Genomic DNA, 12764 nt, shown 5'->3' on the forward strand with positions numbered 1-12764 from the left:
GCATCCATGTTCTGTAAATGCAAGGATATCCTAAGCCAACCCTTAGTCCTGTCCCACTACCCTAATCCGGTTCTTCCTTCCATCTCCTCCCCACAATCAGGAGTGGCAAGTAGTTGTCCCAGTCAGGGCTCACTATGAATGTCACTTGAACAGGACTCAGAAACACTCCAGGCAGCTGCTGCATTGGGTCGGGGTGGATGTGCAACATGAAACCCATTTTCCATCTTGCCCATAAACCGCTCCCCTTTTCAACTCTAAAAGGGAACCCCTGATCCCTTCACTGCAGCCTCCCTGACAACTCTGAGCCCCACTCTCAGTCATTGTCCCAGCTCTAACTCTCCTTCCAAGCCCACCTCTCTCTTTTTCTGCGCTGTTTTCCCCAGGATCTTGATGACTGTGTCATCCGCCAGACCAACACGCAATTTCAGTATAATTATGAGTACTTGGGTAACTCGGGCCGGCTCGTCATCACCCCCCTGACGGACAGGTCTGCCATGTGGGATGAATGAGGTGGCTGGGGTGGGGGGCAGCAGAAGCTGAGAGAGGCTTCCAGGAGTCTGACTCTAGTTCTGTCCTCAATTCTCAGGTGTTACATGACACTGACCACGGCATTGCACCTGCACCGAGGGGGCTCCCCCAAAGGCCCTGCAGGCACAGGCAAGACCGAGACCGTCAAGGACCTGGGCAAGGCCCTGGGCATATATGTCATTGTGGTCAACTGCTCTGAGGGCCTGGACTACAAGTCCATGGGCCGAATGTACTCAGGTCTGGCCCAGGTCAGTATCCTGCCACCCTGTGCCAGAAGCCCCTTAAATACCTTTTCGTCCCAGAAAATAAACTGAAACCCAAATCTGGTTCAGTGCTTTGTAGCTTCATGACATTGCATCACATGTAATTCTTATTTATTTATTTATTTATTTTTTGGAGTGCAGTGGCATGATCTCGGTTCACTGCAACCTTTGCCTGCTGGGTTCGGGCAATTCTCCTGCCTCAGCCTCCTGAGTAGCTGGGATTACAGGCGTGTGACACCAAGCCCGGAGAATTTTTGTATTTTTAGTGGAGACGGGGTTTCACCATCTTGGCCAGGCTGGTCTCGAACTCCTGACCTTAGGTGATCCACCTGTCTTGGCCTCCCAAAGTGCTGGGATTACAGGCGTGAGCCACTGCGCCCAGCCACGTATAATTCTTACAACTAGGAAAGTCCCTTCCCCTTCCTGAGCTTCATGTAGCTTATTTGCAAAATCAGAAGATTATAAAGGATTAAAGAAAATAATGTGTGTTAACTGGAGCAGAGTAGACAGTGCACACAAGTTCCCTACCCCAGTCTCTTTCCAACCCACACCTTTTCTAGCATCACCCCAGATTGGCCCCATCTGATGGAAAGTTCTGGCCAGAAGCTACAACAGTGTACTCTGGTGCCCTCCTCCCTGCCCCCTAGTCTGGAGGCCGCCTCGCCTATTGAAACATTTGAAGGAAGGGTGCGTTAATCACGCTTTCTAGCCTCTTGGGGCACCTCTCGCTCCCAGTGACTCTGCCTTGCACCCCGCAGACTGGAGCTTGGGGCTGCTTTGATGAGTTTAACCGCATCAACATCGAGGTGCTGTCAGTGGTGGCCCACCAGATCCTGTGCATCCTGTCTGCCCTGGCTGCCGGCCTCACCCATTTCCATTTTGATGGCTTTGAAATAAATCTGGTGTGGTCCTGTGGGATCTTCATTACCATGAATCCTGGTAGGTGGCAGGGAGTGGATGGGACTCCTGGGGTGGGAAGAACTGGGTGTTCAGGGGAAATAACTGCGCATCCTCCTCTTCCCCCTTCCATGCGAATGTATATAGCTAAGTGAAGTCTGGCTAAAGATAGCAAAGGGGAGAGAAGGATAAACACAACTTTCCGGGAGAAGGGGAAGCAATCTTACTGTTTTCCCCAAAGGGATTAATAACCACTTATGTGTGTATATGTAGCCCTCATCTTTTAAGATACTTAGCTTTCTTCTCCCTTTAGGCTAGCTCCAAGAGTTCTGGTCTCTCTGCCATCTCTTTTGCAGCAGGCTCTAGGGTCTCTCATTACTGTTTCCTAGGAACAACTCTGGGGGAAGGGTCTAGGACAGCACAGGGATAGGAAAGGGTTTAGGAACTGAACAAAGAGGAACAGCTGTGATTTCTATTAGGACTGATGAGAGCTATACACACAGAACCTGGAGAGATGGGAAATTGACAGCTCTGTGATTTGAGTTTGAAACAAGGCCATGCAGAAAGTAAGGAAAGGACCAGAGATAAGAGAGAAGACCAAAGTGGACTGGGAAGGGCTGGGGCTGAGATGAGAAAGGATGTGGTCTTGGAGTTGGAGAGAAAGTTAGGGATGGAGTTAGGGTGGGAGAAAATGAGACTGATTGGAAAGTGGGTTTGGGGAAGCAAATCAAGATGAGGAAATATATGATTCTAAGCAAGTGGCATTGTTTTCCAGGCTATGCTGGCCGCACAGAGCTTCCCGAAAATCTTAAATCCATGTTCCGCCCAATTGCCATGGTGGTGCCTGACTCCACCCTCATTGCAGAAATCATTCTCTTTGGAGAGGGCTTTGGCAACTGCAAGGTACTCCAATAACCCCTTTTCTCCAGTGATTTTAATTTCCTTTCATAATTATTCCCTGGACAGAGGAGCTCCCCAAGGGCCTCACAATCAGCTTATCCTCTAAGGAACTTAGACTATTGTCAGTAGGATGTGTGGGGAGAAAAATTTAGGGGAGGGAGGTGTCTCCTCCGTGATATCACTAACTGACAATGGCGTCATTCACACAATTTCCTCAGGAGAATCCATAGAGTGCCTCCTAGCTGCTTCATGTCCTGGGACCTGGCTTCTTGTCTCTGACTGTCCTGAGATGAAGCAGAGGGATTTGTGGGGAGATGGACTGTTTCCTCCTCTGTTTTGGTTCCCCAGATTCTGGCCAAGAAGGTGTACACACTCTACTCACTGGCTGTGCAGCAGCTGTCCAGACAGGACCACTATGACTTTGGCCTGCGTGCCCTCACCTCCCTTCTGCGCTATGCTGGCAAGAAGCGCCGCCTACAGCCGGATCTGACTGATGAAGAGGTAGAGCAAGGACACAGCCTTTGGACCTGACTTCCACTGTCACTGGACCTATGTCACTTCTCTCAAGTCTTTCAGACCCTTTCTTTCCTCAGATTGGGATTCTCACCTTCCCACCTCGTCCCATCCCCGTGTTGCCCGCTGCTTTGCTAATGGCTAACTGGTGTATCCATTGTTCTTGGCACGTGCCCCGAAGCCCTTTGGAGGTGAAAGGCCTAGGCCCTGCCTCCTCAAGCCTGAGTCTCTGTCTTTTCCCATTCAGGTTCTGCTGCTCTCAATGAGAGATATGAACATCGCCAAGCTCACTTCAGTTGATGCACCCCTGTTCAATGCCATCGTGCAAGATCTGTTTCCCAACATTGAGCTGCCTGTCATTGACTATGGCAAGGTATTTGTTCCTTAATACTCTCCCTGACCGGGTGCTGTGGCTCATGGTTGTAATCCCAGCACTTTGGGAGGCCGAGGTGGGCAGACTGTTTGAGTCCAGGAGTTTGAGACTAGCCTGGGCAACATGGTGAAACCCTGTATCTACAAAAAGTACAAAAATTAGCCAGGCATGGTGGTGCACACGAGTGTAGTCCCAGCTACTCGGGAGGCTGAGGTAGGAGGATTGCTTGAGCCCCAGGAGATTGAGGCTATAATGAGCTGAGATTGTGCCTCTGCACTCCAGCCTGGGTGACAGAGCAAGACCGTGTCTCAAAAAACAAAACAAAAACAAAAAAACCGCACTCTCCCTGACCACATATGTGAATATGCATCTGGGAATAGAAAACTTGGCTTCCAGTCCTTGTTCTGCCATCTACTAGCTATGACTCTGAACAAGTCAATTGACCTCTCTTTGGACTTCCTTATCTATAAAGCAATAGACTATTCAAACATTCTGCTCTCTGACCACAACTCCCTCCTCCGCTGACCTACTCAAGTGTACCTGCTCAAGTGCATCCATGCAGCAACGCTCTGACTTCATTGAAACCTCTAGTCCGTTGCCTTTGCACTTTCTCCGTGCCCATCAGTCCTCCATGCCTCTACTTCTCACCTCATCAGGGAGTTTTGAGGAGGGGCTGCTAGAAGCCATTTGGTATCAGAGAGCAGCAGAATGGAAGAGGGAGTTTTAGAAAGCATAAGAACTTTCTTCTCTGGCAGTGTGGTAGTCTAGATACCCTGAATGATCCTTTCAATTGAAACTACTAAAATGATGGATAAAAATATAATAATAACATCCTTTTTAATGCATTGCTAAGCTGGCAAGAAAGGAAGAATTCCAGGAGTTGAGGAGGGTAGGGAGTAAAAGCAGGAACCCTGGGAGGCAGGTAAGTACCAAAGCTGGCCTTCTCCCTGAAAACTGTTGTTGATCTTAAGGCAGTGAGGATAGGAGATGAAACAACCCAAGTCTGAAGATATAACAGAAGATGCAGTGCTGCATAAACCCCAGTCCCCAAGGGGCAACATCCCCAGTAGATGGAAAAACGAGAAGTCTGAGATTTAGAAGCGTATATACAGGAAAGAAACTTGCTTGTTTTGACCTCTGATGATGGAAGAAAAAGACCAAATTTTCTTTGAGATTTCCTAACCACACACCAGCTCTCACATGGTTTCCAGTCATCATTTATCCTACTGTGTAATCAGAAAAGAAATCTCAAGCTTAGATTTCAATATTAAGTAGTTCTAGGTTGTTAGTGCCCCCAGGTGACTGGAAGAAGCAAAAGCAAATTATTTCTGGAGGAATGAAATTTCAACTCACACTTCAAAGAAGTGCCACAGGTAAAAGTCCAAGAAAATGAGCAACTCATGGTCAAAAATCACAAAACACACAAGGAAACAAGAAACCATGAATGGGAGCCAGAAGAACAACAGACAGTGGAATCAGATCCATGAAAACTTACTTCAGATATTGAAACTGATAGGGGCGAGGTGCGGTGGTTCACGCCTGTCATCTCAACACTTTGGAGGCTGAGGCAACAGGATCACTTTAGGCTAGGAGTTCAAGACCAGCCTGGGTAACATAGCAAGACCTCCATCTCTTAAAAAAAAAAATAGCCACACATGGAGGTGTGCTCCTGTAGTCACAACTACTTTCTCCAAAAGCTACTAGAAAAACGTGCTCTACTTAAACACAGGAACACATCGTGAAAAGGACGATGGGAAACAAAAGATTTGGTGCAAGGGGGAGGCTACAGTAATCCTCGGGGTGTTGGTGAATGGAGGTCACAGGATGATGGTGGTGCACTGGGCAAAGAGAGAAGCCAATCCAGACTGGAGCAAACCTGAAGTCTTCAGGAGGACTGTTTTTTTGTTTTGTTTTGTTTTGTTTTTTTGAGATGGAGTTTCACTCTTGTTGCCCAGGCTGGAGTGCAATGGCACAATCTTGGCTCACCGCAACCTCCGCCTCCCAGGTTCAAGCGATTCTCCTGCCTCAGCCTCCCGAGTAGCTAGGATTACAGGCATGCACCACCACACCCAGCTAATTTTGTATTTTTGGTAGAGACGGGGTTTCTCCATGTTGGTCAGGCTGGTCTCGAACTCCCGACCTCAGGTGATCCGCCTGCCTCAGCCTCCCAAAGTGCTGGAATTACAGGCATGAGCCACTGCGCCGGGCCAGGATGACTTTTTAAAGAAGAAATTGATACCCGATGTGAAAATTGTTTGAAAGATTTAGTCAACTGGTAGAGTTTGGAATTGAGTTAGAGATAAGCACATTAAAAACTAAGCAAACATGGGGGCAAAACAAAAACAAAAACAAAAACAAAACCCTAAGCAAACAGGCTGGACATGATGGCTCACACCTGTAATCCTAGCACTTTGGGAGGCATAAGCAGGTGGATTGCTTGAGGTGAGGAGTTTGAGACCAGCGTGGGCAACATGGTGAAAATGAGCCAGGTGTAATGGCTCATGCTTGTAGTCTCAGCTATTGGGAGGGCTGAGGCAGGAGGATTGTTTGAGCCCAGGAGGTGGAGATTGCAGTGGCTGAGATTGTGAGATTGTGCCACTCCAGCCTGGGTGACAGAGTGAGACCCTGTTTCCAAAAAAAAAAAAACAAAAAACAGAACCTAAGCAAACAAAAATCACAAAAACTATTAGATCCTAGGGAAAACAAAAAAAGTTGCCCAAGAAAGGAAAAGTAACCATACATTGTTATACTGATACTTTATAATGTTTACAAGAGACCCATCTAAAGCTTAATGACAAAGGGCTGAAAGTCAAAGAATAGAAAATGATGTTTTTTCTATTATTTGATAATTATTAGTAAATAATTAGTTTTAGTAAATACGAATCAAAAGAAAGCTAGGGTAGCAATATGGGACAACAGATTTTGAGCTAAAAAGCATTGCTAGAAATAGAGGGCTATTTCATAATAATAAAAGTTTCAACTCATCAGGAAGGTATAACAATTCTAGATTTTTGTGCATCTAATAATATAGTCTCAAAATAAGTAGAGCAAATTTTGCACAATTACAAGGAGAAAGAGACAAATCTAGTATCATAGTGGAGAGCTTAATATTTCTTAATTGATAGAGCAAACAGACTAAAAATCAGGATATAGAAGATTTGAAGAACACAATCAACAATCATGATTTAATGGATATCTATAGAAACTGGACTCAATAATTGGAGAATCGGCCAGGCATGTTGGCTCATGCCTGTAGCCCCAGGACTTTGGGAGGCCAAGGTGGGAGGATTACCTGAGGTCAGGACTTCAAGGCTGCATTGAGCCATGACTGTACCACTGCACTCCAGCCTGGGTGACAGAGTGAGACCTCAACTCAACTCAATAAAATAAAATAAATAATTGAAGCATAACCATATTTTTCAAGCACACATAGAAAATTGTTGGACCATGTAGGAAAAGGAAAATTGATGACTATGTAAAGGCCATAAATTTGCCTCAAAAATGTCAAAGGAAGATATTCAGACCACAGTTTCTGATCACAGTGATAACTCTACTGCTATCAGGCAAAGCAGACTTTATGGCAAGAAGCAATCGTAAAGGTGAAGAGTGACATTTCATAATGATAAAAGGATCAATACACAGAAAGTTATAAGAGTTCTAAATCTGTATGCACTAAATAATATAGCTACAAAATCCATAAAAGAAACTGGACAGAACCATAAGGAGAAACACATAAATCCACAGCCCTGGTGGGAGATCTTGACTTACTTCTTTTAGGAACAGATAATGCAAACAGACCAAAAAATCCATAAAGAGATGCATTTGAATGCTTTTAACAGACAGTGACAAAATAGAAAAAGCCCGAGTGTTTGGAAATTTGGCAATACAATTCTAAATAACTAATGGATCAAAGAAGAAATTAGAGAATTTTTTTTTTTTTTTTTGAGATGGAGTCTCAAAAAAAAGCTCTGTTGCCCAGGCTGGAGTGCAGTGGTGAGATTTCGGCTCACTGCAACCTCCGCCTCCCAGGTTCAAGCGATTCTCGTGCCTCAGCCTCCTGAGTAGCTGGGACTACAGGCACACGCCACCACACCCGGCTAATTTTTTGTATTTTTAGTAGAGACGGGGTTTCGCCATGTTGGCCAGGCTGGTCTCGAACTCCTGACCTCAGGCGATCTGTCCGCCTCAGCCTCCCAAAGAGTTGGGATTACAGACGTGAGCCACCGCGCCTGGCTGAGAATATTTTTTAACTGAATAAGTAGAAAATGTGACATTAAACTTGTTTAGGACACTAAACACATGTGCACACAGAAAACATACTAATAAAACTACTTCTCAGATAGTGGAAGGAAGTGGAATTAGTGAGGCCTGTTAGTGCAAGTAACTATCTTGTATCTATTTGAAAATATTTGGCTACATGAGCTGTGTGTTTAAAAATGGCACACTATTCTGGGGCCCATCTGTTAGGTCATGGTTCTTCAAGCATTACTTTTTAACTTAGGTAATAATGTCTTTACTATTAAACGGGCTCTTCCACCAAACTGTGAGCTCTGCAATAGGACGAAATCTATTTTGTTCCAAGCCGTATCTGTGGCAACCAGCACAGTGCTTGGCATACATTGTACAGGCTTAATAAATATTTGCTGAATAATAACAAAAAGTGTGTAGAGCTACATGTAAGACACTGTGTCAATGAGGAAACTGAGGCGTGGAGAAGTAACTTACCCAGGATCACATAGCTGAGAGCTGGGGAACCAGGCTGGCGGACTCCAGAGCCCAATCTTTCAACTCTGCAATGGGCCAGCTTCCCAATGAGTGAACAGAGCCGGAGTGCAGAGGGCCCTGGTGCCATTTTTAACAGTTTGAACGTATTCTCTCTGGCACCGGGGAGATTTTGAAAGCCCTTTAAAGGCCTCATCCTTTTTCTTCTGCTTGCTGTGTTTTCCCTTCCCTCAGCTGCGGGAGACCGTTGAGCAGGAGATTCGAGACATGGGCCTGCAAAGCACGCCGTTCACCCTCACCAAGGTTTTCCAGTTGTATGAAACCAAGAACTCCCGCCACTCCACCATGATCGTGGGCTGCACGGGCAGCGGCAAGACTGCCTCATGGCGCATTCTACAGGCCTCCCTGTCCTCTCTGTGCCGCGCCGGAGACCCTAACTTCAACATTGTTAGAGTACGGGGCTGGGACAGTGGAGTCAGTGGGCAGAGACTTGAGTAGTAAGAAGACAATGGAGGGTGGGGGCCAGGGAGGACCTTGCAAGGCCGGGAGAGCTGTACCTGGGACCATGGTGGCCTGGAGCGATGAGAGAAGGGACAAATGCACGTACCTAAGAGGGGTCTGGAAATAAAGAGGGGTTTTTGTCCATCAGCAGCTAAAACCCCTTCCGGTGTCATTTTCAGGAGTTCCCTTTGAACCCCAAGGCATTGTCCCTAGGGGAACTGTATGGGGAATATGACCTCAGCACCAATGAATGGACAGATGGCATCTTGTCCAGTGTCATGCGGACGGCATGTGCAGGTATCCAGAGGATCGTGGGGTGTGGAGAGCAGACGCCTGAGTCTCCTAAGGGGGCAGGGAGTCTGGGGATAGGAAGTTCCAAGTTGGGAGAGAAATGCCTGGGGAATGCTGAAGTACAAGGGAGTGTAGGCTTGTGTCTCCGAGGAGCGTGAGCGGAGGGTGCAAGGTGAGCGGCTCCCCGGTTTCCTCATCACCCACCATCTACTCAGATGAGAAACCCGACGAGAAGTGGATCCTGTTCGATGGCCCCGTGGACACACTGTGGATCGAGAACATGAACTCCGTCATGGACGATAACAAGGTGTTGACCCTCATCAACGGCGAGCGCATCGCGATGCCCGAGCAGGTCAGGGACGCGGCTGACTCCTGGAGGCCTGCAGAGGCAGGCACCGGAGGGCGTGGGCCGGGGCTGGGGAGGAGAGCCAGAAATCTCAGAGCAGGGCAGGTTCTGTGGGAGAGAGCTGAAAGGTGGATGCCTGGATTCAGGGAAACCTGCAGCTGAAGAAAAATGCTTTGCTTGCCGCGGCTGTTGAGAACAATGATAAGAAAAACACCCTCTGTTGTAAGCACTGTGTAGGCTTGGGCGGCCCTCCTCGGCTCGTTCTCACGGATGCATGAGGCAGGACCCTCGTTTGTGCACCCAGAGGTATGAATTCACGGACTGGCAAGCACACCCTTTTCCACCCACTCCAACAATGCGAGCAAGAGAGTGATTTTTCAAAAGGACAACCTTGAATAAGCTCTAGTTTCTTTTAAAGCAAACTGGGCCGGGCCGGGTGGCTCACGCCTGTAATCCTAGCACTTTGGGAGGCCAAGGTGGGCAGATCACTTGAGGTCAGGAGTTCAAGACCAGCCTGGCCAACAGGGTAAAACCCCATCTCTACTAAAAAATACAAAAGTTAGCTGGGTGTGGTGTTGTGCACCTGTAGTCCCAGGTACTCTGGAGGCTGAGGTGGGAGGATTGCTTGAACCTGAGAGGCGGAGGTTGCAGTCAGCCAAGATCACGCCACTGCACTCCAGCCTGGGTGACGGAGTGAGACTTTGTCTTAAAAAAAAAAAAAAAAAAAGCAAATCGTTTGTGAACTTGTAGCATCCGAGTTCCGGGTGTTTTATTATTCCTGAAGGTGGGGGATGCAGAGAAAGATGAAGTTCTGACAAACGTATATCCTTAGGTGTCTCTCCTGTTTGAAGTGGAGGACCTGGCAATGGCCTCTCCGGCCACTGTATCCCGCTGCGGGATGGTCTACACTGACTACGCTGACCTGGGCTGGAAGCCCTATGTTCAGTCATGGCTGGAGAAGAGGCCAAAGGTATGAAGGGAACTGAGGAGAGGGAAAGTAACCAGGGTGGCTCCAGGACACAAGGGTGAATGAAGAGCCCCTTCTTATTCAACTCCAGGCTGAGGTGGAGCCCCTTCAACGCATGTTCGAAAAGCTCATCAACAAGATGCTGGCCTTTAAGAAGGACAACTGCAAGGAGCTGGTGCCCCTGCCCGAGTACAGCGGTATCACCTCCCTCTGCAAGCTGTACTCTGCCCTGGCCACGCCAGAGAATGGGGTAAGGGGAGGACACAGACCACGGGCAGGGGCAGGGGGTGCTCACAGCCTCACCAGAACAACTTCTGGGAAACGGCGTGTCTGAGACAGGTTGAACTCCAGGCTTGAGTGGAGCAGAGACTCCAGGGGGAGGCTTCAACGACCATGGAGGCAGTGAGGGGTGTGTGTGTGCATGTCTGTGTGTGTGCACGTGTGCATTGAGCTGAAAGGTCTGACTAGGGGTTCTGAATTGAATATGTACACAATGGGATCTCACTATAATTTCCCACCCATGCTTTGGGAGCTGAAAATAGCTCATTCCGCTCCTCACTTCTCCATCCCTTCAAAATATAAGTTTTGGCGTAGATGAGGCCCTGGGACACCATTTCTCCTAGAAGAAGCTCCCAGGCTATTCTGATGAGAGGACTTTTTAAACATTTCAGATTAATCTATATTTAAGAAAAACTGTGCTCAGTTTAGAAGTAAGGACCAAAATTTGATATCTTCTGTTGAGATTAAATCACTGCCTATAAATGGTTTGTATTGTTTTTAAAGATGTTGCTAGGTAATTAAACTATTAATATGTCATCAACAATTAAGATCTGTAGGAACATATGTCATTCCTGGTACAGTTAATGTAAATTAAAAATATGTAGATGGGGCTGGGCACGGTGGCTCACGCCTGTAATCCCAGCACTTTGGGAGGCCGAGGTGGGTGGATCACCTGAGGTCAGGAGTTCGAGACCAGCCTGGCCAACATGGTGAAACCCTGTCTCTACTAAAAATACAAAATTAGCCAGGTGTGGTGGCACGTGCCTGTAGTCCCAGTTACTTGGGAGGCTGAGACAGGACAATCGCTTGAACCCAGGAGGCAGAGGCTGCAGTAAGCCAAGATTGTGCCACTGCACTCCAGCCTAGGCAAGACAGAGCAAGACTCTGTCTCAAAAAACAAAAACAAAAACAAAAAACCGCAGATGGACTTGCCAGGTACTGTGTGGGCAGAGGGCAGTTACGAGTTATCAATGGCCCACAGATGTCAAGAAGGACGGGCTGGGTAGGGGAGGCTTCCCGGGTGAGCAGAGGGCAAGAGTGGCCTCTGCAGAAGTGCAGACACACAGGAGTCAGGCCTGGCAGGGCGGGCCGAGCTGGTGGTCTGTAGCCGGATGTGGTGGGTGGTGTTTTTGTGTAGATGCGCTTCAGCGTGGCAGAGACCCTGAGGAGAGGGCTGGACCATGAGGATGGTGAGATGGGTTGTGTGCTGAGAAAGGCTGGGAGCACAGACTAAGGATTCTGGACTGAAAATGGCAGACAATTGATTCTTAACATAATTTCCCACCTATAGGATTGAGGAATACTCTTTTTTTTTTTTTTTGAGATGGAGTCTCACTCCTTTGCCCAGGCTGGAGTGCAGTGGCACGATCTCAGCTCACCGCAACCTCCGCCTTGCAGGTTCAAGCGATTCTCCTGCCTCAGCCTCCTGAGTAGCTGGGACTACAGGTGCCTGCCACCACACCCAGCTAATTTTTTGTACTTTTAGTAGAGATGGGGTTTCACCTTGTTGGTCAAGCTGGTCTTGAACTCCTGACCTCAGGTGATCCACCCACCTCGGCCTCCCAAAGTGCTGGGATTACAGGCGTGAGCCACCACTCCTGGCCAGGATTGAGGATTACTCTCTAAACCCAAGATCGGTATTCTGGATTGGACGCACCAAGTGTATCACATTATCTGTGGTCCTAGGTATCTTAATTCACAACCCATCCTCAAGCGCTCTCCACCCACGGGCCTGTGTCTGCTTTGCATAGTAAAGCAGACTATCCCTTTGCCAGGGATGGTTTGAAGGATGCCGAGTTTGCTGTCTGTGGTCTCCAAGAGGCCTGAGAGAGGTGGGATGGCCCCATGTGCTCCATGCGCCCAGTCAGAAGAAAGATATCTGTCACGTGCCCTCTGGGCAGGGGGTTGAGAGCATGGGCTCTAAATATGCTCTTTCCATTATTAAGTTGGTACATTTTACATTTTATCTTTTTGGAGATAGGGTCTCACTCTGTTGCCCAAGCTGAGTGCTGTGGTGTGATCTCGGCTCACTGCAGCCTCAACTTCCTGGGCTCAAACAATTCTCCTGTCTCCTGAGTAGCTGGGACCGCAGGCGTGCGCCATCACACCCAGCTAATTTTTGATTATTTCTAGAGATGGGGTCTCACTGTGTTGCCCAGGCTGGTCTCAAACTCCTGGACTCAA

General features: G+C 47.9%; 1 protein-coding gene across 10 annotated transcripts in view; it reads left to right on the forward strand.

Moving 5' to 3' along the window:
• Nucleotides 1–12764, forward strand: part of DNAH2 (dynein axonemal heavy chain 2) — a 115999-nt gene that overhangs the window by 59950 nt on the left and 43285 nt on the right. For all 10 annotated transcript variants that reach the window (NM_020877.5, XM_047435424.1, XM_011523667.3 and 7 more), the window contains 11 exons: nucleotides 384–487; nucleotides 587–776; nucleotides 1550–1730; nucleotides 2464–2591; nucleotides 2937–3089; nucleotides 3349–3474; nucleotides 8431–8649; nucleotides 8877–8994; nucleotides 9204–9340; nucleotides 10167–10304; nucleotides 10393–10551. In NM_020877.5, the coding sequence (NP_065928.2) occupies nucleotides 384–487; nucleotides 587–776; nucleotides 1550–1730; nucleotides 2464–2591; nucleotides 2937–3089; nucleotides 3349–3474; nucleotides 8431–8649; nucleotides 8877–8994; nucleotides 9204–9340; nucleotides 10167–10304; nucleotides 10393–10551 (1653 nt within the window). The remainder of the gene's footprint in view (nucleotides 1–383; nucleotides 488–586; nucleotides 777–1549; nucleotides 1731–2463; nucleotides 2592–2936; nucleotides 3090–3348; nucleotides 3475–8430; nucleotides 8650–8876; nucleotides 8995–9203; nucleotides 9341–10166; nucleotides 10305–10392; nucleotides 10552–12764) is intronic.

Source organism: Homo sapiens, chromosome 17 (genome assembly GCF_000001405.40).
Source record: "Homo sapiens chromosome 17, GRCh38.p14 Primary Assembly".
Lineage (NCBI taxonomy): Eukaryota > Metazoa > Chordata > Mammalia > Primates > Hominidae > Homo > Homo sapiens.